At 42.2% G+C, this 24,368-nt stretch overlaps 1 long non-coding RNA gene across 2 annotated transcripts in view; it reads right to left on the bottom strand.

Moving 5' to 3' along the window:
- The window catches only part of LOC105378515 (uncharacterized), a 164,918-nt gene that overhangs the window by 117,603 nt on the left and 22,947 nt on the right, over positions 1-24,368 (bottom strand). For both annotated transcript variants that reach the window (XR_001747606.1, XR_001747605.1), the window contains 2 exons: positions 14,849-14,940; positions 10,940-11,108 (listed from right to left, as the gene is read on the bottom strand). This is a non-coding gene — a long non-coding RNA (uncharacterized LOC105378515). The remainder of the gene's footprint in view (positions 1-10,939; positions 11,109-14,848; positions 14,941-24,368) is intronic.

Genomic DNA, 24,368 nt, shown 5'->3' with positions numbered 1-24,368 from the left:
CACAAGTTCTTAAATGACAGAGAGATTGAAACACAGTAATTATAAACACACTCATCTGGAAAACTAACAAAAAATAGGAATGGTAATATTAATATCATGCAAAATATAATTCAGAGCAAAAGCATTAAGTCAAAGCATGATATGTTCTATGGCTAAAGGTATAACCCACCTACAAATGACACTATTAAGAATCTTTATGCCTCTGGGGAAAACATTGACAATTTCCTACTCCATATCTATTCCCCTTATCTACCTTAGAAATCAAACCCCAGTTTTTTTCAGGGTAGTCTTATGCCCAGCTATTAAAATCCATTTCCTGAGCTCCATGTGGCTGAAGTGGTCATGTTTGGGGCAGTGACATTTAAATGGAAGTTACTAGATGAGGTTAGCATGTGTGACTTTATCCCTCACCCTTTCCCTTCTTCCTGTAGGATGATGTGATACAGTGGGTGGAGCTCTGACAACCATCTCATGTTCATGAGGATGACAGTCACATCCTAAGGCTGGTGGGGTAGAAAGCTAGAAGGAACCTAGGTCCCTGGTGGCTTCGTGGAGCTACCATACCAGGCCTGGCAGCTAGCTTTAGACTTCTTTTATGTAAAGAAAAAATAAACCTTTACCCTACTTAAGTATCTGCTTTTTAGGTCTCTGTAACCTAAAGCCAAATGCTGTTTTTAACTCATAAAGCACATAACTACTTAGCTTTGAAATATGTAAAGCAAAATCTGTTAGAGGAAAAAAATAAAAATAAAGTAAAATTGACACATCAACAATCAATGTGGGAGATTTTAGTATAGCTGTCTCTAAAATCAACTGATATTAAACATTACAATTAAAAGACAGAGATTGGCTGGGTGTGGTGGCTCACACCTGTAATCCCAGCACTTTGGGAAGCTGAGGAGGGCAGATGAAAAGGTCAGGCGATCGAGACCATCCTGGCCAACATGGTGAAACCCTATCTCTATTAAAAATACAAAAATTAGCTGGGCATGGTGGCACATGCCTGTAATCCTAGCCACTCAGAAGGCTAAGGCAGGAGAATCGCTTGAACCAGGGAGTCGGAGGTTGCAGTGAGCCGAGATTGCGCCACTGCACTCCAGCCTGATGACACAACAAGACTCTGTCTCAGAAAAAAAAAAAAAAAAAAAAAAGCAGAGATTATCAGACTGGATTTAAAAGAGCACCAATTTGATGCTGTTAAAGATGGAATTTAAATTTTTAAAATGCAGACAGGTAGAAAATAAGATGGATATGCCCTGCAAACACTAAGCATAAGAATCAACCAAAGTAGGCAAGAGAAATACTACTGAGAAATGAGAATCATTCCATAATGATAAAGTGGTCAGCTCATCAACACATAATTCTAAATGTGACACATCTAATACAGCTTCAAAATGCATGCAGCAAAAATTGGCAGAACTAAAGGGAAAAACAGACAAATCCACAACCATGGAGATTTTGCCATTCCTTTCTCAGAAACTAATAGAAAAAGTAGACGGAAAATCAGTAAGGATATAGAAGACTCGAATAGCACTGGCTAGCAATACTACCTCACTGACATTTATAGACCATCTACCCAATAGCTGCCTAATCGACACTCACTTCAAGTGGACACGGAACAGTCATCAAGATAGACTTTATCCTAGGCCAAAATCAATTGACAAAGCAAGCAAAAATGAGAGATGAATTCTGAGGACTTAACGTAATTACAAAGTTAGAGCAAACAGATCTCTATGGAACATATCCCAATAACAAGCTCAAAACATTCTTGTTAAACCAGACAAACCAATACCAAAAAACCAACCATGTGCCTGGCTGTGGTAGGCAGCCTCCAAGATGACCCCTAGTGACCCCTGCCTCCTGGGAATCACACCCTGTGTAGTCCCCTCCCACTGAGTATGGGCTGGACCTAACGATTCCCTTCTAATGACCTGATGGTGTAAGACTCAAAAGACTAGGTCACAAAAGGATGTGTGGCGTCACTCTCACTGATGGCTCCTTCTAGGAGAAGCCAGCTACCATATGGTAGAGGCCAGGTGGTGAGGAACTGAGGCCCCTACTAACAGCCATGTGAGTGAATTATCGTGGAAGCTGCCCTCCAGCCCAGGCTAATCTTCCCATGCTTGAGTCCTGCTGACAGCTTGTTGAGATATCATGAGAGATCTTGAACCAGAACCACCAACTAAACTGTTTCTAGATTCTTCACCCTCAGAAACTGTGTGAGATAATGTTTGTTGTCTTAAACTACTAAGTTTTGGGGTAATGTTTTATGACAATAGATAACTAAGCCATTTTTTAAAACTCAGTACATTTCCCCAACTGAAATTTATACAATCTACTTTGCCTGACCACAAAGCAACACAATTAAATATTAATGATCAAATAGTAACAGAAAGAAAATATTTCTTAGTATTTTTAAACCCTTTTAAAGAGGCAATCAAAACTGAAATTACAAACTACTGTATTTATAAATGAATAAAATTGAAACACTCCATCTCAAAACCTATGGGATGCAGCCACATACATGAAGGAAAGTTTTTAGCTTAAAAGTCTTGCCTTTTTCAGAAATAAAGATTGAATGTAAATGAACTGAGCACCTAAGACACTAGATAAAAAGAACCACAAAATAAACTTCAATAAAAGTAAAAAAAAGTTGGCAATAAAGATTAAAATATTAATTACGGCCGGGCACGGTGGCTCACACCTGTGATCCCAACACTCTGGGAGGTCGAGGTGGGTGGATCATCTGAGGTCAGGAGTTCAAGACCAGCCTGGGAAACATAGCGAAACCCCATCTCTACTAAAAATACAAAAATTGCCAGGCATGGTGGTACATGCCTGTAGTCCCAGCTACTTGGGAGGCTGAGGCAGGAGAATCGCTTGAACTCAGGAGGCAGAGGTTGCAGTGAGCTGAGATAGCACCACTGCACTCCAGCCTGGGTGACAGAGCAAGACTCTGTCTCAATAAATAAAAAAATACATAAAATATTAATTACATGTTTTAAGTAACAGACCTAATAAAAAAACATGTACTTTGAGAAGTCCAGTGAAAGAAATTTTGGGGCCAGGTGTGGTGGCTCACGCCTGTAATCCCAGCACTTTGGGAGGTGGAGGAGGGCAGATCACCTGAGGTCGGGAGTTTAAGACCAGCCTGACCAACATGGAGAAACCCCGTCTCTACTAAAAATACAAAATTAGCTGAGCATGGTGGTGCATGCCTGTAATCCCAGCTACTCGGGAAGGCTGAGGCAGGAGAATCGCTTGAACCTGGGAGGCGGAGGTTGCAGTGAGCTGAGATCACACCATTGTACTCCAGCCTGGGCAACAAGAGCGAAACTCCATCTCAAAAAAAAAAAAAAAACCTTTTGGGATTTGTAACTTCTAACTGGTAAGAAGAGAGAGAAAGAGAAGGTGTACACAAACATTAGGAATGCAAAAAAGATTATAACTCTAGATAAAGAAATTCAAGTTCTTAATTTTATTTTATAATTATTTTCCACAATTACACAATATTTTAAAAACTTGAATTTAAAACTGGAAAATCTAATTGAAATGATACTTTTCCAATTCTGCCCAGTAGAACTTTCAGTAAGAATGGAAATATTTTGTATCTGCATTGTTCAATATGTTAGGCCCTAGCCACATACAACCACTGAGCAATTGACATACAGCTAATAATACTGAGGAATTGAATTTTTAATTTTATTTGATTTTAACTAAATTTCAATAACCACATAATGCTGATGAAAACTATAATAGACTAGACGGTACTCAAGAAACAATACAAAGATTGAGTTAAGAAAAGGTAGAAAATTTACTCCAAAACCTTTGTAAGAATTTGAAAGACAGCTCTCGCTCTCCCTCTCCCTCTCCCTCTCCCCCTCCCCCTCCCCCTCCCCTTTCCACGGTCTCCCTCTGATGCCGAGCCAAAGCTGGACTGTACTGCTGCCATCTCGGCTCACTGCAACCCCCCTGCCTGATTCTCCTGCCTCAGCCTGCCGAGTGCCTGCGATTGCAGGCGCGCACCGCCACGCCTGACTGGTTTTCGTATTTTTTTGGTGGAGACGGGGTTTCGCTGTGTTGGCCGGGCTGGTCTCCAGCGCCTAACCACGAGTGATCCGCCAGCCTCGGCCTCCCGAGGTGCCGGGATTGCAGACGGAGTCTGGTTCACTCAGTGCTCAATGGTGCCCAGGCTGGAGTGCAGTGGCGTGATCTCGGCTCGCTACAACCTCCACCTCCCAGCCGCCTGCCTTGGCCTCCCAAAGTGCCGAGATTGCAGCCTCTGCCCGGCCGCCACCCCGTCTGGGAAGTGAGGAGCGTCTCTGCCTGGCCGCCCATCATCTGGGATGTGAGGAGCCCCTCTGCCTGGCTGCCCAGTCTGGAAAGTGAGGAGCGTCTCTGCCCGGCCGCCATCCCGTCTAGGAAGTGAGGAGCGCCTCTTCCCGGCCACCATCACATCTAGGAAGTGAGGACGTCTCTGCCCGGCTGCCCATCGTCTGGGATGTGGGGAGCGCCTCTGCCCCGCCGCCCCATCTGGGATGTGAGGAGCGCCTCTGCCCGGCCGCGACCCAGTCTGGGAGGTGAGGAGCGTCTCTGCCTGGCCGCCCCGTCTGAGAAGTGAGGAGACCCTCTGCCTGGCAACCGCCCCATCTGAGAAGTCAGGAGTCCCTCCACCCGGCAGCCGCCCCGTCTGAGAAGTGAGGAGCACCTCCGTCCGGCAGCCACCCTGTCTGGGAAGTGAGGAGCGTCTCCACCCGGCAGCCACCCCGTCCGGGAGGAAGGTGGGGGTCAGCCCCCGCCAGGCCAGCCGCCCCGTCCGGGAGGGAGGTGGGGGGGTCAGCCACCCGCCCGGCCAGCCGCCCCGTCCGGGAGGTGAGGGGCGCCTCTGCCCGGCCACCCCTACTGGGAAGTGAGGAGCCCCTCTGCCCGGCCACCACCCCGTCTGGGAGGTGTACCCAACAGCCCATTGAGAACGGGCCATGATGACAATGGCGGTTTTGTGGAATAGAAAGGGGGGAAAGGTGGGGAAAAGATTGAGAAATCGGATGGTTGCCGTGTCTGTGTAGAAAGAGGTAGACATGGGAGACTTTTCATTTTGTTCTGTACTAAGAAAAATTATTCTGCCTTGGGATCCTGCTGATCTGTGACCTTACCCCCAACCCTGTGCTCTCTGAAACATGTGCTGTGTCCACTCAGGGTTAAATGGATTAAGGGCGGTGCAAGATGTGCTTTGTTAAACAGATGCTTGAAGGCAGCATGCTCGTTAAGAGTCATCACCACTCCCTAATCTCAAGTACCCAGGGACACAAACACTGCGGAAGGCCGCAGGGTCCTCTGCCTAGGAAAACCAGAGACCTTTGTTCACTTGTTTATCTGCTGACCTTCCCTCCACTATTGTCCTATGACCCTGCCAAATCCCCCTCTGCGAGAAACACCCAAGAATGATCAATCAATCCATCAATCAATAAAAAAAGAATTTGAAAGAGCAGAAATATACTCTATTATATGTGTGTGTGTGTGAATATGTATATAGCCTTAGATGTTTTTATCAGTTCTACTGAATCTTCATAAACAATGTTTATATAATAAATTCTCAAAGTACAGGAAAATGTCAAAACTTCCCATTTATTTCTTCAAAGCTAGCTCTGATACCAAGTTCCAACAAAAAAGTGTGCGCGCACACACACACACACACACACACACAGAGAGAGAGAGATATGCTGCAGTAACACACAATCCCAACATCTCAGTGACCAGGAGTCAGCAAACCTATCTGGCCTATGGACCAAACTGGGCCTTTTACCTGCTTTTGTAGGGCCTATAAGCTAACTTTTTAACCGTTGGAAATTAGCTTTTGCCCCAGACGTGATAATGTTTCTTAATGAATTCAACCTAAAATTACAAGGCAAAACAACAGTTATAGGTGAAACATATACAAAAACTCATTTCTTTATTATTACACCCCTACGAAACTGTTCATATTTGGAAACTAAAGCACAGAGAGATAAAGTAACATGCCTAAAGTCATACAGAAAGTTTTTGGGAGGGCCAGGACTGGAACCCAAAGAGTGTGCACTCTTAAATACTATGTTCTGGGTGATGCCACATAAGCATTAAAAAATCAGTCTCCCTAGACAATAATAAAAATTTGAACAAAGAGCTGTGGATGCACATAGGAGTGGGGGTCTAAGGGAATGAGAAAATCTTCTTAGAGGAAAAGATGCACTGTCTTGGAAGATGAGGAATGTATTTTATATCACTACTTTACAGATACTACATAGATATCTCCCTTCCAGACTGTGTGCTCCTAGGAGAGGGGCACTATCTAATTTATCCACCTTCCAAGCAATGAATGTGCTCCACTGAAAGCACATGCTGGCCAGGTACAATGGCTCATGCCTGTAATCCCAGCACTTTGGGAGGCTGAGGTGGGAGGATTACTTGAGGCCAGGAGTTCAAGGCCAGCCTGGGCAACATAGTGAGACTCCCTCTTTACAAAACGTTTAAAAATTAGCCAGGCATGGTAGTGCATATCTGTAGTCCTAGCTACTCAGGAGGCTGAGGCTACAGTGAGCCATTATTGCGCCACTGCATTCCAGCCTGGGTGACAAAGTGAGACCCTGCCTCAAAAAAAAAAAGCATATGCTAATAATTGGTATCAGCATTTGATAGTGCTTATCTGTGTGAAAAGACATTTTTAAACTGAAATATATAAAATCTCATTACAAGCTACCATTAACAAATAAACACTACAATTGATTTGATCATAGGGAATACTAACTTTAAGCTCCAGTTAAGTGAACTGTTGTCCCCCTGCCAAAAATATAATATTCATTCTTCTTATTAGTAGACCTGTATTATAAAAAAATTATCCTCTATTATGGTATTTTGGATTTCATCAAAAATAATTGGAAATTTTATTTCTCTCTTATGATCTAAGTCCCTATGTAATATCTTTGATTTCACTGCTTGGCCTGAAAAGTCTAAAATATTTATTACCTGGTCCCTTACAGATAAACTTTGCCAACCCTTCATTTAAACAATGATAGATTATTTCTTGCTCATGCTACATGTCCATTGCTGGTTGGCAAGAGTCTGTTCATCATAGTCAATCAAGGGCCCAGGCTGGCCTTGAAGGTTGCTGGTCACTGAGTCAAAGGGAGGAAAAGACAGCCCTGGATATCTTGTAGTGGCAATAAAATGCTTGGCCCAGAAAAGTGACATTATTTCCACATCTAACTCATTGGCCAAAACTACTAACATGGCTCCATCCAGCCCAAGGGATCCAAGAAATATAATCCCACCACATGTTCCAAAGGCAGAGTGCCACGCTAATGACAAACCTGCAGTGGGTTAAACGGTGGCTCCAAAATGACATGTCCATGCTCTAATCCCCTAAGCCTGTCAGTGTGACCTTATTTGGAAAAAGGATCATTTGTTACAGCAGCACTTGGAAACTAATACATCACCCTGGAGGACTAGCTCAAAAACTGATACAGATGAAACCATTTTAAATTAAGTTCTGGCAAATCAAATCCAAAAGTATATTGCAATAACCCTTTAATATGGCTAAAAGGGGCTTATTACAGAAATAAAGAAATGGTTGGTTCAACATTAAGTTGATGTTGAACTGATGTAATTCATCACATTAACAAGTAAAACAAAAACAAGATCTCAATAAATAATAAGAAATATTTTAAAAAATATTATTTGGCATATTCCCAATGAAACTTTTAACAAACGTGGAATAAGAGGAAGGATTTTTAACTTTATAAAAATTATCTAAAAGAAACTAACATCATACTTAATGAAAAACATTAGAGAAGATCTAACTAAATCAGGAATAAGGCAAAGATGCCCACTATCAGCCCTGCTATTCAAAATTGCACTGGAGATCTTTGCCAATGCAACAAGAATAGGAAAAGAAAAGTTGATATAAATATTGGGGAAAGAGAAACAAGATGTAATTTTAAAACAATATATTTATCAACTTAGAAAATCCAATGGAATCAACATTGGAACGAAAGGAGACTTCAGTTGGGTAGCCGTACCCAAGAGGAACAAATTCACCATAAAAGTAATTAGAACATGTCATGGGAAAAGATTGCATTCGCAGCAGCAACCCAAATTGTCAAAACCTAGAAATAAATTTATCAAAAAATTCATAAAACAAATATGGAGAAAACTAGAATTTTTTTCTATAGGAGAGAATTACAATGATCCCAAATAAAAAGCTGTAACACTGTTAAGATTTAGTTCTTCACAAGTTTACCTATAAAGTCAATGCAATTTCAATCCAAAACTCAAGAATATCTTATTAATTCTGGCAAGCTAATGCTAAAACTCATGTAGAATATGCCCACAAATTTCCAAGAAAATAGTTTATAAAACAATGAAGGGCAATTAATGAATTAATGAGTTATCTTTGTAAGAAGAGGAAAAGAGACCAGAGCTAGAATGCTCAGCACACTCAGCCCCTCGCCATATGATGCCCCACACCATCTCAGGACTCCAAGAACTCTCCACCACCAAGAAGGCCCTCAACAGACGTGCCCCCTTAACCTTGGACTTTCCAGCCTCCAGAACTGTAAGAAATAAATTATTTTTCTTTTTAAATTACCCAGTTTCTGATATTCTGTTATAAGCAAAAGAAAACAGATGAATATATCACCTAAGAAAAAAATCCAGGTGGATTATTAAAACAGTGGCAGAAATTATAGACCGAAGCTTTTAAAGTCTTGACACAGTAAAGAAACACACAAAATTCAGAAAAGACAAGACTAACCAAGATAGATTTAAGACCTACAGATTTAAATCGATAGACCACATAGTTTAAAATTTGATAACAAAAGATCCTATAAGCAATATTAAAATATTAGGAAAAGATGAAGAAAAATAACTGCAAATAATTAAGTTAAAACACATGAATGTAATATATAAAATTTATAGTACATAAAGCATTCCTTTAAATCAAGAAAAACATAAACTATAGAAAAATAAGCAGAGAATATATAAAGAAAACTCAGAGAAAGAAATAAAATTCAAATAAACTTTTAAAATAATGTCATACTTCAGTTGTAATAAAGTAAATGCATAGTAAAACTACAAGAGAACTATTTTTATCACCCAAATTGGCAACTCTTTGTCAGTGATGGCATTAGCAAGGATGGTCAGATGGTCATACTCATACATTACATTTAGAAGGACAGGTTGACAAAAATGTTGTGTTCTTTCACCCAGTAATTTGACCTCTAAAAATCCATTTTATTACCTTTTAAATCCCTAAAATGATTTATATTAAAATAATTTTCATCAAAATATTACTTAGTAAAATAGTTAACACAAATAATAACAACCATCAAAAATTTTAAAACATGAGGAAATGTTCATAACAAAATGAAAAAGCATGATATCAAATTGTGTAATAGTCGCCATAGGAAGAAAACAGTAGTAGTAACTATTAACATTTGTTGAATACTACTATGGGCCAAAAACTATTCTAAGCCCTTTCTGTGTATTAAGTTATTTAATTTACACAATCCCATTATGAAGGTACTTTAGTGGCCATTTTAAAGATAAACCGATGCAATTAAGGTTTGAGTGGATTTATCTATGCTGGAGGGCAACGTTCACCTATATGAAGTAACTAGGCAGTAGCTGCATTGTAACTGCAGAGATTTGACATGCTCTGAGCTCATTCAGTGAAGGTTTTCAGGTGATGAGGCCTCTTGTCTGGTGACCTGGGGAGCTACAGGTGGAAATTCCACTGCTCACCCTGGACTGCTGGGTGAAAGGAGAGTGAGAGACACCAAAGCCATGTCCAGGCTGAAGATGCCTCACCTTCCGGAGTAGGTTGGCATTACCTACTATCTGAGTTCTCACCTCCTAAAAATAACACCAACCTGCCATGATTTCACAACCAGGCTGACCTGGTGAGGCAAAGCCCCTACCACTTTTCTGTCCCCCTCCCCGATTTCCCAACCGGAGTCTCAAGGACCCCCAACACTCAGTTTTGCTTTCACCTGCCCAAATCACTCAAGAAGGAAGCATGGGATTTTGAAACTTTATTATCACTCAATGAATTATCAGCAGGAGATTAAACAAAGAATGGCTCTGGAGCAGACAGTGCACAATGCAAGAAAATAATTCACCTAGGGTAAGCTTTGAAGCCTCAGTAGGGGAATATTTAAGAAGGACTTGCCAGCCTCCACCCCCTAAGCCAACTTGGTAGATGCTGATACAGCTGATCCTGGTGGCAAACTGCTCAATTAGCAATCAGCTCTGTCTTTTCACCTCATGAAAAGGCAACCTGATTTCCCTGCAAGTGTAATATATTGGATAATGAAAAACGCTCTGAAAGCCCCCGTGGAATAATTAAAGAGTATGCGACTAGAAATGTGAAAATATCGTGATAGATGGCAGCAAACCAGCCCTGTAAAACACAGCTGCAGGAAAGGCGTGGAAGTAATTAACGAAAACTTCAGACATTTTAAAACTTCCCAGCAACACAGGTCAAAGGCTAACACCATCTTTGGGCTTTTCTGTAAGGAGGCAATTTAAAGCTCATAATAGAGTGTCATTAAAACACCATGTGTTCTGTAGCTCCTACCAATTTATGACTTGGCAGTTGGACACTGTGACATCTGAGACACCCTAGACAGTACAACTCAGGTACCAACCTGGGAGACAAACGGCCAAAGAAGATTGAGCTTATTAACTACAGCTACAAAGCAGCTTTAATTTAGAAAGTAAAAATGGCACTTAATGTTAAAGCCCAAGACACCCTAGCAGGGGAGCATTAATGAAGCTGGTGAAGAGATGAATTGAATGCTGATGGAGTGGAATCGCTGGTCCTAGTGCTGTGGGACTTTACACCATGCTAGAGACTGGTCTCATGCTACTCAGGGGAAGCAAGGATGGAACCCACTTTCTTTCTTACCTGGATGGAGACACTGGCTTAATACGCAATTCTACTTCGGCGACCTTAACTTGCTGCATGGTGCACCCATGGTTTGCCAGGTAGTGTTCCAAGAAATAAGGACGCAGAGATGAAGAAAACAAAAGTGCTCTCAACCTTCTCGGGGCTTTCCAATTACAGCAAGTGTTTTCTGTAGAAGACCAGAGAATAAATAATTGAGGCTTTGCAAGCCATGTGGTCGTAACTACTCAACTCTGCTATGGTAGCATGGAAGTACAATCAACAGTACATAAATGACTAGGCGTGACTATGTTCTAATAAAACTTTGTTTACCAAAGCAGGTGGTGGCTGAATTTGACCCACAGACAGTAGTTTGCTGACCCCAAGTCTAGAAAGCCACTAAATACATACATAGTAAATAACTACAGTTACAGGAGCCTGCTCTGTGTCAAATACTGTTCTAAATGCTTTACAGATGTTTACTCACTTTATCCTCACTAAACCCCTCTGAGCTAGTAGTAGTATGCCCACTTTACAGATGAAAAAACTAAAGCACAGAAAGGTTAATAACTTAGCCAAGGTCACACAAGCAGCAAATAGGATGCGCCAGATTTTGAACCCAGCAGCTCCAGAGTCTGCGTATGTGAGTATTGCACCAGCTCCCCCATGCTGTACTGCCTCTCAAAAAGTATACATGGCAAATTGTGGCTGATGCTAGGAAGAAAAAGAAGATGGCCTGAGAGAGAATAGCAGGTGGACCTACTTTAGATGGGCTAATCAGAGACAGCTGAGCTTGAGCAGGAGACTGTGCCATCGGGAAACTAGTAGTGGAAAAAGAATAATATTCCAGGCTGGATCCATTTTCTATTGCTGTGGTGCAAATTACCATAACCTTAGCAGCTCAAAACAACATAAATATGTTATCTTGTAGTTCTACAGGTCAGACTCCAGGGAAGCTCCCTTGGTTTTTCTGTTGTAGGTCTTAGAAGGCCAAAATCAAAGTGCCAAACTGGCCAGCCTCTTATCTGAAGCCTCTGGGAAGAATCAGCTACCAAGCTTATTCAGAATTGTGCCAGGTGCGGTGGCTCATGCCTGTAATCCCAGCATTTTGGGAGGCTAAAGCAGGCAGATCACATGAGTGCAGGAGTTCGAGACTAGCCTGGGCAACATGGCAAAACCCCATCTCTACAAAAAAGTATAAAAATTAGCTGGGTGTAGTGGCACACGCCTGTGGTACCAGCTACTCTGGAGGCTGAGGTGGGCGGATCACCTGAGCCAAGGAGGTCGACGCTGCAGTGAGCCAAGATTGCGCCTCTGCACTTCAGCCCAGACAGGAAGGGGAAAGGGAAGGGGAAGGGGAAGGGGGGAAGGATTGCTTGTGGCCGCAGAGCTGAGTCTGGTTTCCTCACTGGTTGTGAGGGACTCTCCACTCCCGAGGCTGCCTGTACCCCTCACCAGGTGTCCCCTCTATCTCGAACCAGCTATCGTGCCTGAGTCCTTCTCAGGCTCCTAATCTCATTGACTTCTTTCTACTCTGCCTCCAGCTGGAGAAACTTCTCTGCTATTAAGGGTTCATGTGATTAAGTGGACCCATCTGGATAAGAGAGGCTTCTCTAGATTAAAGTCTGTAGCATTAATGACATCTGCAAAGTCCCTTCTGCTATGCCACATTAGATGTCACAGGTTATGGGGATTAGGGCATGGACATTCCTGGGGGCCCTGAGGAAACCGCAAGTGCAAAGGCCTTGGCATAGAATGGAAATAAGGCTAGTGTGGCTAGATGGGAGGGCAAGGAAAGAGCCAGGCAGGGCCAAGCTGAAGAGGTGGCAAGGGCTGGCTGCTCCAAGGAGGCCTTGCAGGTTGTGACACAAAGTGAGCTTTTGTCCTAAGTGCTATGGGAAGCTGTGAAAAGCTGGTACACAGGAGAAATATTATCCGATTCACATTTTTTAATGATTAGCTGCTGAGGAGATAATAGATGGGGCCTGGTGGGGGCCAATTAAGTGGGTCACTGCAGCGGTCCAGATGCAAGGTGGTGGTGGCCTGAGATGATGGTAGCAGTGGAGCTGGAGGGAAGGAGGAGATTTGAAACACAGTTGTGGAGGAGACTTGTTTGCAGATGAGATGCAGGTTGTGAAGAAAGGAAAGATGATAAGAGTAAGAAGGAAAGACTTTTGGGAGAGCAGATGTGGGGCTGAAGATTAAGAGTTCAGCCTTGGACATGCACTGCCAAGATGGCTATTCAATATCCAGGCAGTGCTATAAAGTAGGCAGATACAGTCATCTCTTAGTATCTGCTGGGGATTGGTTCCAGGACACCCCGCGGACACCAAAATCCACAGATGCTCAAGTCCTTTATACCAAATGGCATAGTATTTACGTATAAACTACATACGTCCTCCCATTTACTTTAAATCATCTCTAGATTACTTATAATACCTAATACAATGTCAATGCTATGTAAATTGTTGTTGTACTGTATTGTTTAGGAAACAATGACAAGAAAAAGACTGTACATGTTCAGTACAGACATAAACATCCTTTTTTAAAAAAATATTTTCAATCCTTGGTTGGTTGCAACCACTGATGCTGAACCTATGGATATGGAGGGTCGATTGCATATTATTTGGGAGGCAAGTAGGTGCCACAGGTTATGCTCATGCCAAAAAAAAATTTCAGCCAATTTTTGTCACTGACTTCATTTGTTTGGATTAAGGTTTTCAGGCTCCAGAAGGATGCTACTGAGTGGCCAGCAAAGTGTTGCACACTCACATGACACAACTGCTCAGTTGATTGGATCTGCAAGTGCTCTCATTAGGAGGTTGGGAACCTGGAGGGAAGAGAGAGACACGGGAAGGGGCAGGGGCACTGTTGATGATGAAAGACAAGCCTAGGGCAGGTCCTGGGAGGTGGGGCCTGAGCAGGGAGGCATCTCAGGAGGACACTGTCAATTAGGGCCTGCATGAAAGATCTGAACCAAATCACCTTTGCTAAACCCAAATCCCTGACTGCAGAAACAAAGTCCTCAATTAAAGAGAAGCACAGAGATTTCTGTGAGGTGATTGTCAACCAACAGAGGGACAGAATACTGGCTTAGACAGAATCCATATCCACCTTTTGGCATGCCCAAAGATACATGCCCAGGTTCCCTGCAGGATGCCTCAGGCCTGATCAAAGAAGTCAGCGTGACTTGGCACAGGCCTCAGCATGCAGAAGTGTCCAGGTGAGCAGCAAAGCTTTTATTACAGTTCCTAAGAATTATTTGCTCTGGATCTCTTCTCCACCTGAAGATTTCTATGTGCCATTTCTTGCAAGTTTCCTTCCTTTTGGCCTGGTGCAAACTCAAGGGCCAAAACTGCCTGGCTTTGTATTCCAGCTGTACCTTTTACTAGGAAACCTCAGGAAAGTCAGATTTATCTGTTCCTCAGATGTCTCATCTATAAAACGGAGATGCTAACACTAGTACAGGCATGCCTCATTTTGTTGTGCTTCACTTTATTATACTTCACAGATGTTACATTTTTTTTTACAAATTGAAGATTTGAGGCTACCCTGTACCAAGCAATTCTATCAGTGCCATTTTTTTCAAACAGCATGTGTTCACTTCATGTCTCTGTGCCACATTTTGGTGCTTCTCACAATATTTCAAACTTTATTATTATGTCTGCTAGTGTGATCAGCGGTCTTTGATGTTACTATTGTAATTGTTTGGGAGTACCACAAACCACAACCATAGCAAGATAGTGCATAAAGGTCAACTCTGTGAGCTTTAATTCAAGAAGGAAAATGGGAATCCACCAGAACCGTGAAGGACACCCCAAATCCCAGGGAGGAGAACTCATAAACAGCCCCTGTGATGGCATCCAGCTGATAAAAGTAAGTGAAGCCCCGGTACATGAGCGAAGCAAAGAACCTCCCTCTGTGACTCACCTTTCCACTGGGTGTGCGAGGAGCTGGGGCTGAGGGAGAGCACTTTGTTTCTCGCAAGCCCTGGAGCGAACTTGGAGAGAGGCTTGGAGATGCTGTGAAAGAAAGACACCAGGAAAAGCTGCAATCATTTCCCCAGACCTGGGACTCAGAGGAGGATACTCTTTTAAATCCAGACAAATACAAAGTCAACCATTCTTTGGTGACCCAGCCGTGTGGCCATGCAGGCATTTTAGTCTAGGGCCAGGGATTGAAGTACTTGCTCTGGAGGGGGGTAAGGGCCTCTACAGCCAGAACTATAGAAAGCTCCTCAGAAGTAGGTACCAGAATTGTGCTGTCCCCCATCACAGGCCTGGGGCAATTGGAGAGCTGCTACAGCTGCAGGTTTTCCTAGGTGACAAGACTTGCAGCCTTGGCGACCTAGAAACAATCTGCATGTGCCAGGGTGTCCCAGCCTGCTGCTCTCCTGAGATTGTGGTACAGTGGGACCCTCTCTGCTCCACCCCCTGCCCCCCGGCATAAATCCAGGTATTCAGAGAACCCGCTCACTAGGACCAGAATCCTGACATGCCCCACCCTTCATGGACACAGATCATGGTGCAATGGGGCCCTTTCCGCTCCACATCCAGGCAGATCTCCGGAGGCATTCAGAGCACCTGTTCACCTAGAATAGCAGCCTGAGCTGCCCCACCCTTTCTGTGCAGAGATCCTAGTGCAGAGTGGCCCTCTCTGCTCCACATCTGGGAAGATCTGCAGGCATCTGGAGCACCCACTTTCTTGGATTAGGAGTTTAGGCCACCACATTCCCGTCCAGAGAACTTGGGACCAAGAATGTTTCCTAGCTCCAGGCCTAGACACACCTCTGGTCACTTGGTGGCCACCCAACTGGATTCTCCCTCGGTGCTGGTGCTTGTGCCTGTCATTAGTGGACTTATAAGCAGACGTGCTAAGTCCAGCTCCACCTATCTTGCACTCCCCTCCCGCAACCCTGGGGGATAAGCAGGGAGCTCAGACCTCTTGTGTACTCCACACATCAGGCCATTGCCTGAAGCAACAGAGAGCTTTTCCCAGTAAGCAAATATCAAATATACACTCAGCTATGTTGCCCACAGTTGCCTCTTACCTATAAGCACAATCTACCGGCTTGCAGGTAGAACGACACAGCCTATTAAAAACCCTATCAACAGAAATGCATAGGAATATAGAAACAAACCAGAAAGATCCTACCCAGCATTTTCTACTGTAACAACCCCTAGGGAGGAGGGCAAAGAGTAAGGGAAAAACCTCGATGATAATATAAGAAAGAGAAACAAAAAAAAAAATCTACCCAAAAGAAAATAATTACAAAAATATAAAGTGTAAGTGTCTCTGGATGAAAGGGAACCAGCACAATAATTCTGGCACCATGAATAATCTGAATATAGTGACAACACAAAAGTACCATGCCAGCTCTCCAACAGTGATCCCTAACTAAAATGGAAATGCAAAAATGACAGATGAAGAATTCAAAGCATGGATTGCAAGGAAGCCCAACAAGATGCAAGACAAAGTTGACACAAAGAAACTTCTAAAGCAATCCAGGAAATGAAGGAAGAAATAAACACCTTAAAAAGAAATCAATCGGAGCTTCTGGAATTGAAAAACTCACGTAAGGAATTTCAAAATACAATTAAAACAGTATCAATACACTGGACCAAGCAGAAGAAAGAATTTCAGAACCTGAAGACCAGTCTTTCAAACTAACCTAGTCAAACAAAAATAAAGAAAAGGGAACTTTAAAAAATGAACAAAGTCTTTGAGAAATATGGGATTATGTAAATCAACCAAACCTACAAATTATTGGCGTTCCTGAGAGAGACAAAGGAAAAGAAAACAACCTGGAAAACATATTTGAGGGACTAATTCATGAAAATTTCCCTAATCTTGCTAGAGAGGTAGACATCCAATACAAAAAATCCAGAGAACACCTGAGAGATACTATACAAAATGAGTAACACGAAAGCATATAGTCAGTCACCAGACTGTCCAGGGTCAACAATAAACAAAAAATTTTAAAGGCACCTAGAGAAAAAGGTCAGGTCATGTACAAAGGGAATGCATCTGGTTAACGGAAGACTTCTCAGCAGAAACCTTATGAGCCAGGAGAGATTGGGAGCCTATTTTCAGCATTCTAAAAGAAAAGAAATTCCAACCAAGAGTTTCATAAACTGCCAAATTAAACTTCATAAGTGAAGGAGAAATAAAATGTTTTCTAGATAAGCAAACACTAAGGAAATTAGTTACCACAGGATAAGCCTTACAAGAGATCCTTAAGGGGGCTCTAAAAATGAAAAAAACAGAACAATATTACTACCACAAAAACATACTTAAGTACATAGCCCACAGACTCTATGGAGGAACTACATGATAGAAACTACAAAGCAACCAGCAAAAAATGTCACAATAGGATCAAAGCCTCACACATAAATATTAACGTGAATTAGTATTGGATGTAATGAATGTAAATAGTCTATATGTTCCACATAAAAGGAACAGAGGGGTTAAGTTGGATTTTTTTAAAAAGACCCATCCATCTACTGTCTTCAAAAGACTCATCATGTAAAAACACCCATAGGCTCAAAGTAAAGGGTTGCAGAAAAATCTACCATGCAAATGGAAAAAAACAAAAAAAGCAAGGGTCTTACATATTCTTAAATTAGATAAAACGAACTTTAAACCAACACCAGTAAAAAAAGTAAAAAACAGTTAAAAAAAAAAAGGACAAAGAAGGGTATTACGTAACAATAAAGGATTCAATTCGACAAGACTTAACTGTACTAAATGTATACACACCCAACATTGGAGCACCCAGATTCATAAAATAAGTGTGTCTACACCTACAAAATGACTTACACAGCCACACAATAATAGTGGGGAACTTCAACACCCCACTGATAGTATGAGATCATCAAGGCAGGAAACTAACAAAGAAATTCTGGACTTAAATTCAACATTTGACCAATTGGACCTGATAGACATCTGTAGACTACTTCACCCATCAACCACGGAACACACATTCTTCTCACCTTCACATACAACACACTCCAAGATTGACCCCATTGTTTGGCCATAAAGCAAGTTTCAATTAATTTAAAAAAAAATCAAGTCACACCAACCATACCCTTGGACAACAATGGAACAAAAATAGAAATCAATATCAAGAAGATCTCTCAAAACCACACAATTATATGGAAATTACAAACTATCTCCTGAATGACTTTTGGGTAAGCAATGAAATTAGAAGAGAAATCAAAAATTATTTAATATAAATTAAAACAGGAAAAACATACTAAAAATCTTTGGGATGCAACAAAAGCAGTGTTCAGAGGAAAGTTTATAGTGCTAAACACCTACCTCAAAAACTTAGAAAGATTGAAAATTAATTATCTAACATCACACTATAGGAACTAGAAAAACAAGAACAAACTAACCCCAAAGCAGGCAGAAGGAAAAAAAATAACTAAAATCAGAGCTGAACTGAATGAAATTGAGATCCAAAAATCCATACAAATAATCAACTATACCAAAAGTTGGTTTTTTGAAAGGATGAACAAGATTAATAGGCCCTTGTATTAGTTCATTCTCATGCTGCTAATAAAGACACACCCAAGACTGGGTAATTTATAAAGGAAAAAGGTTTAATTGACTCACAGTTTAGCATGGCTGAGGAGGCCTCAGGAAACTTACAATCATGGTGGAAGGGGAAGAAACTATGTCCTTCTTCACGGGGCGGCAGAACAGAGAAGTGCCCAGCAAAAGGAGGAAACCTCCTTATAAAACCGTCAGATCTCATAAGACTTATTTGCTATCACGAGAACAGCGTGAGGGTAACTGCACCCATGATTAAATTACCTCCCACCAGGAACCTCCCACAACACATGGGGATTATGTGAGCTACAAGTCAAGGTAAGATTTGGGTGGGGACACAGCCAAACCATATCAGCCCTAGCTAGATTAACAAAGAAAAAAGACAAGATGCCAATAAGCACAACCAGAAATGACAACAGTGATATTACAACCAATCCCACAGAAATACAAAAGGTCCTCAGAGACTATTATGAACACCTCTATGCACACAAACTAGAAAATCTAGAGGAAATAGATAAATTCTTAGAAACACAAAATCTCCCAAGATTGAATTAGGAAGAAATTGCAACCCTGAACAGACTGATATTTAGTTTTGAAATTGGATCTACAATTTAAGAAAACCTACCAACCAGAAAAGAAGCCCTAGACAAGATGTATTCATAGCCAAATTCTACCAGATGTGCAAAGAAAAGCTGGTACCAAATCCTACTGAAACTATTCCATAACCTCAAAGAGGAGGGAGTCCTCCCTAACTCATTCTATGAAGCCAGCATAATCCTGATACCAAAACCTGGCAAAGACATAATGAAAAAAGAAAATTACAGGCCAATATCCCTGATAAACATAGATGCAAAAATCCTCAACAAAATACAAGTAGACAGCATCCAACAGTACATCAAAAAGTCAAAGAGGCTTTTGGTCTTTGGTCAAAGAGGCTTCATTCCCGGGATGCAAGGTTGGTTCAACATATTCAAATCAATAAATGTGATTCACCATATAAACAGAATTAAAACTATTATTAATTATTGTTTATTAAAACATATGCTCATCTCAATAGACAGAAAAAGCTTTTGACAAAATCCAACATTCCTTCATGAAAAAACCTTCCAGAAAGTAGGCATTGAAGAAACATACCACAAAATAGGAAGAAACATACCACAAAATAGTAAGAACCATCTATGACAAACCCATAGCCAACATCATACTGAATGGGCAAAAAGCGGAAGCATTCCCCTTGAGAACGAAAACAATACAAGGATGCCCACTCTCGCCACTCCTATTCAACACAGTACTGGAATTCCTCACCAGGGCAATCAGGCAAAAGAAAGAAATAAAAGCATCCAAAGAGGAAAAGAAGAAGTCATGCTATCTCTCTTCACTGATGATATGATTCCATATGAAGAAAACCCTAAAGACTCCACCAAATGGCTCCCAGAACTGATAAACAACTTCAGTAAAGTTTCGGGATACAAAAATCAATGTACAAAAATCAGTAACAACTCTATACACCAATAACATTCAAACTGACAGCCAAATAAAGAATGTAATCTCATTTATAATAGTTACCAAAAAAATACCTGGAAATACATCTAACCAGAGAGATAAAAGATTTCCGAAAGGAGAACCATAAGACACTGATAAAAAGAAAGCATAGACGACCAGGCATGGTGGCTCATGACTATAATCCTAGCATTTTGGAAGGCCAAGGCGGATGGATCACTTAAGGCCAGGAATTCTAGACCAGCCTGACCAACACAACAAAAACCTGTCTCTAGCAAAAAATACAAAAACTAGCTGGGTGCAGTGGTGCACAACTGTAGTCCCAGCTACACTGAGGGACACTGAGGCAGGAGAAACATTTGAACCCCAGAGGCAGATGTTGCAGTGAGCCAAGATTGTGCCACTGTACTCCAGCCTGGGCAATAGAGTGAGATTCTATCAAAAAAAGAAAAGAAAAGACAAAAAAAGGACAGGACAGGACAGGACAGGACAGGACAGGAAGGAAAGGAAAGGAAAGGAAGGAAAGGAAAGGGCAGAGCAGACAATACAAACAAATCGAAAAAAATTCCATGCTTATGACAGGAAGAATTAATATCATTAAAATGGCCATATTGCCCAAAGCAATCTATAGATTCAATGTTATTCCTATCAAACTACCAATATTATTTTTCACAGAACTAAAAAAAAAAGTTATTCTAAAATTTACATGGAACTAAAAACAAACCAGAATAGCCAAAGCAATCCTAAGTAAAAAGAACAAAGCTGGAGGCATCACATTACCTAATTTCAAACTATACTATAAGGCTACAGTAACCAAAATGGCAAGGTACTGGCACAAAAAAAGGCACATAGACCAATGGAACAGAATAGAGAACCCCAAAATAAACCACAAACCTACAGCCATCTGATATTTGACAAAGTGGACAAAAATAAGCAAGTGGGGGAAAAGACTATTCAGTAAATGGTGCTGAGATAGTTGGCTATCCACATGCAGAAGAATGAAACTGGAAACCTACCTTTCACCGTATATAAAAATTAACTCAGGATTAAAGATTTAATGTAAGACTTCAAACTGTAAGAATCCTAGAAGAAAACCTAGGAAACACTATTCTGTACATTGGCCTTGGGAAAGAACTTACAACTAAGTCCTCAAAAGCAATTGCAACAATGGCAAAAATTGACAAGTGGGACCTAATCAAGCTAAAGAACTTCTGTAGAGAAAAAGAAACTATCAAGAGTAACAGACAATCTATAGAATGGGAGAAAATATTTGCATCTGACAAAGGTCTAACATCCAGAATCTATATGGAACTTAATTTAACAAGCAACAACCAAATAACCCCATTAAAAAATGGGCAGAAGACATGAACAGGCACTTCTCAAGACATAGAAGTGGCCAATGAACATACAACAAAATGCCCCACATCACTAATCATCAGAGAAAAGCAAATCAAAACCACAATGAGATGCCATTTCATGCCAGTCAGAATGGCTATTATTAGAAAGTCAAAAAACAACAGACACTGGCAAGGCTGTAGAGAAAAGGGAATGCTTATACACTTTTGATGGGAATGTAAATTAGTTCAGCCACTGTGGAAAGCAACTTGGAGACTTCTCAGATTACTTAAAACAGAACTACCGTTCAACCCAGCAATTCCATTACTGACTCTGTATCCAAAAGAAAATAAATCGTCACACCAAAAAGGCACATGCACTTATATGTTCATTTCAGCACTATTCACAATAGCAAGACATGGAATTAACCTCAATGCCCTTCACCAATGAACTGAATAAAGAAAATATGATATATATACACCATGGAATACTACACAGCCATAAAAAAGAAGGGTATCATGTTCTTTGCAGCAATATGGATGCATCTAGAGGCCATTATCCTAAGAAAATTAACATGGCAACAGAAAACCAAATACCACATGCTCTGACTTACAAGTGGGTGCTAAACAATGAGTACTTATGGACATAAAAATGACAATAATAGAAATTGGGGACTACTAGAGGGGATAAGGAAGGAGTGGGGCAAGGGTTGAAAAACTACTGGGTCCTATGCTCAGTACCTGGATGACAGGATCAGTCGTGCCCCAAACCTCAGCATCATGCAATACACGCAGGTAACAAATCTGCACATGTTCCCTCTGGATATAAAATAAAAGTTGAAATTATCTTTACAAAAAAAAAAGGAGATATAAAATCCAGAAATCTGTTGAGCATGTAATCTATTTACAAATTCCATTTTTATGATGGTACTGACAGCTATCTGAGAGGGCTTTCTTGAAAACAATTAAATCAATTTAGAGATAAAGGCCTAGGCTGAGCACAGTGGCTCATGCCTATAATCTCAGCACTTTGGAAGGCCAAGGCAGGTGGATCCCTCAAGCCCAGGAATTCAAGACCAGCATGGGCAACATGGTGAAACCCTGTCTCTACTTAAAATACAAAAAAGTTGGCAAGGCATGGTAGCGTGCACCTATAGTCCCAGCTACTTGGGGGGCTGAGATAGGAAGATTACAGGAGCCCAGAAAGTCGAGGCTGCAGTGAGCCATGATCATGCCACTGCACTCCAGGCTGGATGATAAGTGTGAGACCCCCATCTCCAAAACAAAAAAAGAGAAAAGGAATAGCCCAAAAATGTTGTATATGTTCTGACTGATCCACAAACCATTCATTCCCCCATCTCTCTCCCCTTCCCTGGGCCTACCTATTCCCTGAGACACAACAATATTGAAATTAGGTCAATAAATAACCCTCCAATGGCCTCTAAGTGTTCAAATGAAAGGAAGAGTCACACATCTCTCACTTTAAATCAAAAGCTAGAAAAGTCCCCACTCAAAACAATCACTGTGAGGCTAGCACTTAAAGATGGTTGACTGGAGGCACCAGGCACTGACTTCCTCCACAAAGAAAAACAGAAACAGTGAGTAGATCATCACTCTTTGAATGGAGCATCTAAAAGAACACTGGAATTCAGCAGAGAAGTGATAGGAAATACCTGAGGCACACAAGGAGAGAAAAGTGAGGCAGCTGGCTCAGCTGGGATTGGCTGGAAGCCCAGAGATTTTCTCCAATGTGGGAAAATGATGAATGAGAGATCCCCACTGGTCCATATTCCCACAGCCAACTCTTGCAATCTTCGTGACAGGAGAGCCCCTCAATCCTCACAGGCCAGCCCTGAGACTAGCATAGGAAACTACCTGGAGTCTACAGGATGGCATTGCTCCAGAGAGGGAGCTCACCCTAGGTCCCACATAACTCCCAAGAATAAAGCAGCTGCAGCATGATGTCATTTTGAGAGCCCACCTCCCACCAGACTGTATTCTGCCCTCAGGCCCAATAGCCCCTGCATCTCCACTGATATACCCCCATGTTCACCCAGAGAGCTACAGGACCCAGCAGTGCAGTTGGGTCTCTGGCATGCTAGCCCATACAATGTCCTACACCTTGGGGAAAGAGTGGTGCAGTGTACCAGGGAGGCTGCCATGAGGACAAAGGCAGTCAAAGCAAGTGTTCTCCAGAGCCTGAGAACTACCAGCCTGCAGGCCACTACCACTAACAGCAACCCCACTGCCTCAGCAGCAGTGCTGCCATGTACTTGCATGTGCCCTGAGTACAGGCTTTTCCCACCTGCTGCTGCTGCTGTCACCACTACCCAAGCATTCCGCACAGAGGCCTGGGGATTGCCTATCCCTACCCACCACAGCCTGTGCCAATGTATGCAATCAGATAGACCTAAGGACAGGCCTTCTCTGCCTACCACCACCTCTTCCACAGCTCAAGCATGCCACCTGGGGATCACCTCATCTCATTCCATCATCACCCTGTGCACACACACACATTATCAGGTCTGACAAAAGACTCAGCCCATCTGCGATTGGCTCCTGAGCATGCTGTCTGGGGGCCTAGGGATCACCACAGCCTAGGCCCATGGGCACCACTGGGGGACCTGAGGACAGGCCTGTCCCACCCAGCCACCTCCCCCATTGCTTGAGCATATCATCTGGGGACTGGGAATAGCCTCACCCATCATTCACCTTGGATGTGTGCACACACAATCAGGGGGCCTAACAATGAACCCAGAACTCCTGCTGCCTGCACACAAACATGCCATCCAGAGGCCTGGGGATCATCCTGCCCTGCCCACTACAGCCCAACCTGGACACACCATTGAGGGGCCTGAGGACAGACCCATCCTGCCTAGCATCATCCCTCCCAGTGCTCAAGCACACCACCCAAGCATCTAGAGATCACCTAACCCCATTTGTCATGCTGGGCATGTGCATACACCATCAGGAGGCCTGACAGGTCCAAAACGCCTGTTGTCATTGCCCAAGCATATTAATTAGAGGCCTAGGGATTGACTCACACTGCACATCATGGCTTG

The sequence above is a fragment of the Homo sapiens genome, chromosome 10 (assembly GCF_000001405.40).
Source record: "Homo sapiens chromosome 10, GRCh38.p14 Primary Assembly".
In the NCBI taxonomy this organism is placed as follows: domain Eukaryota; kingdom Metazoa; phylum Chordata; class Mammalia; order Primates; family Hominidae; genus Homo; species Homo sapiens.
The sequence above is the reverse complement of the archived record's forward strand: the minus strand, read 5'-3'. Positions and strand labels throughout refer to the sequence as shown.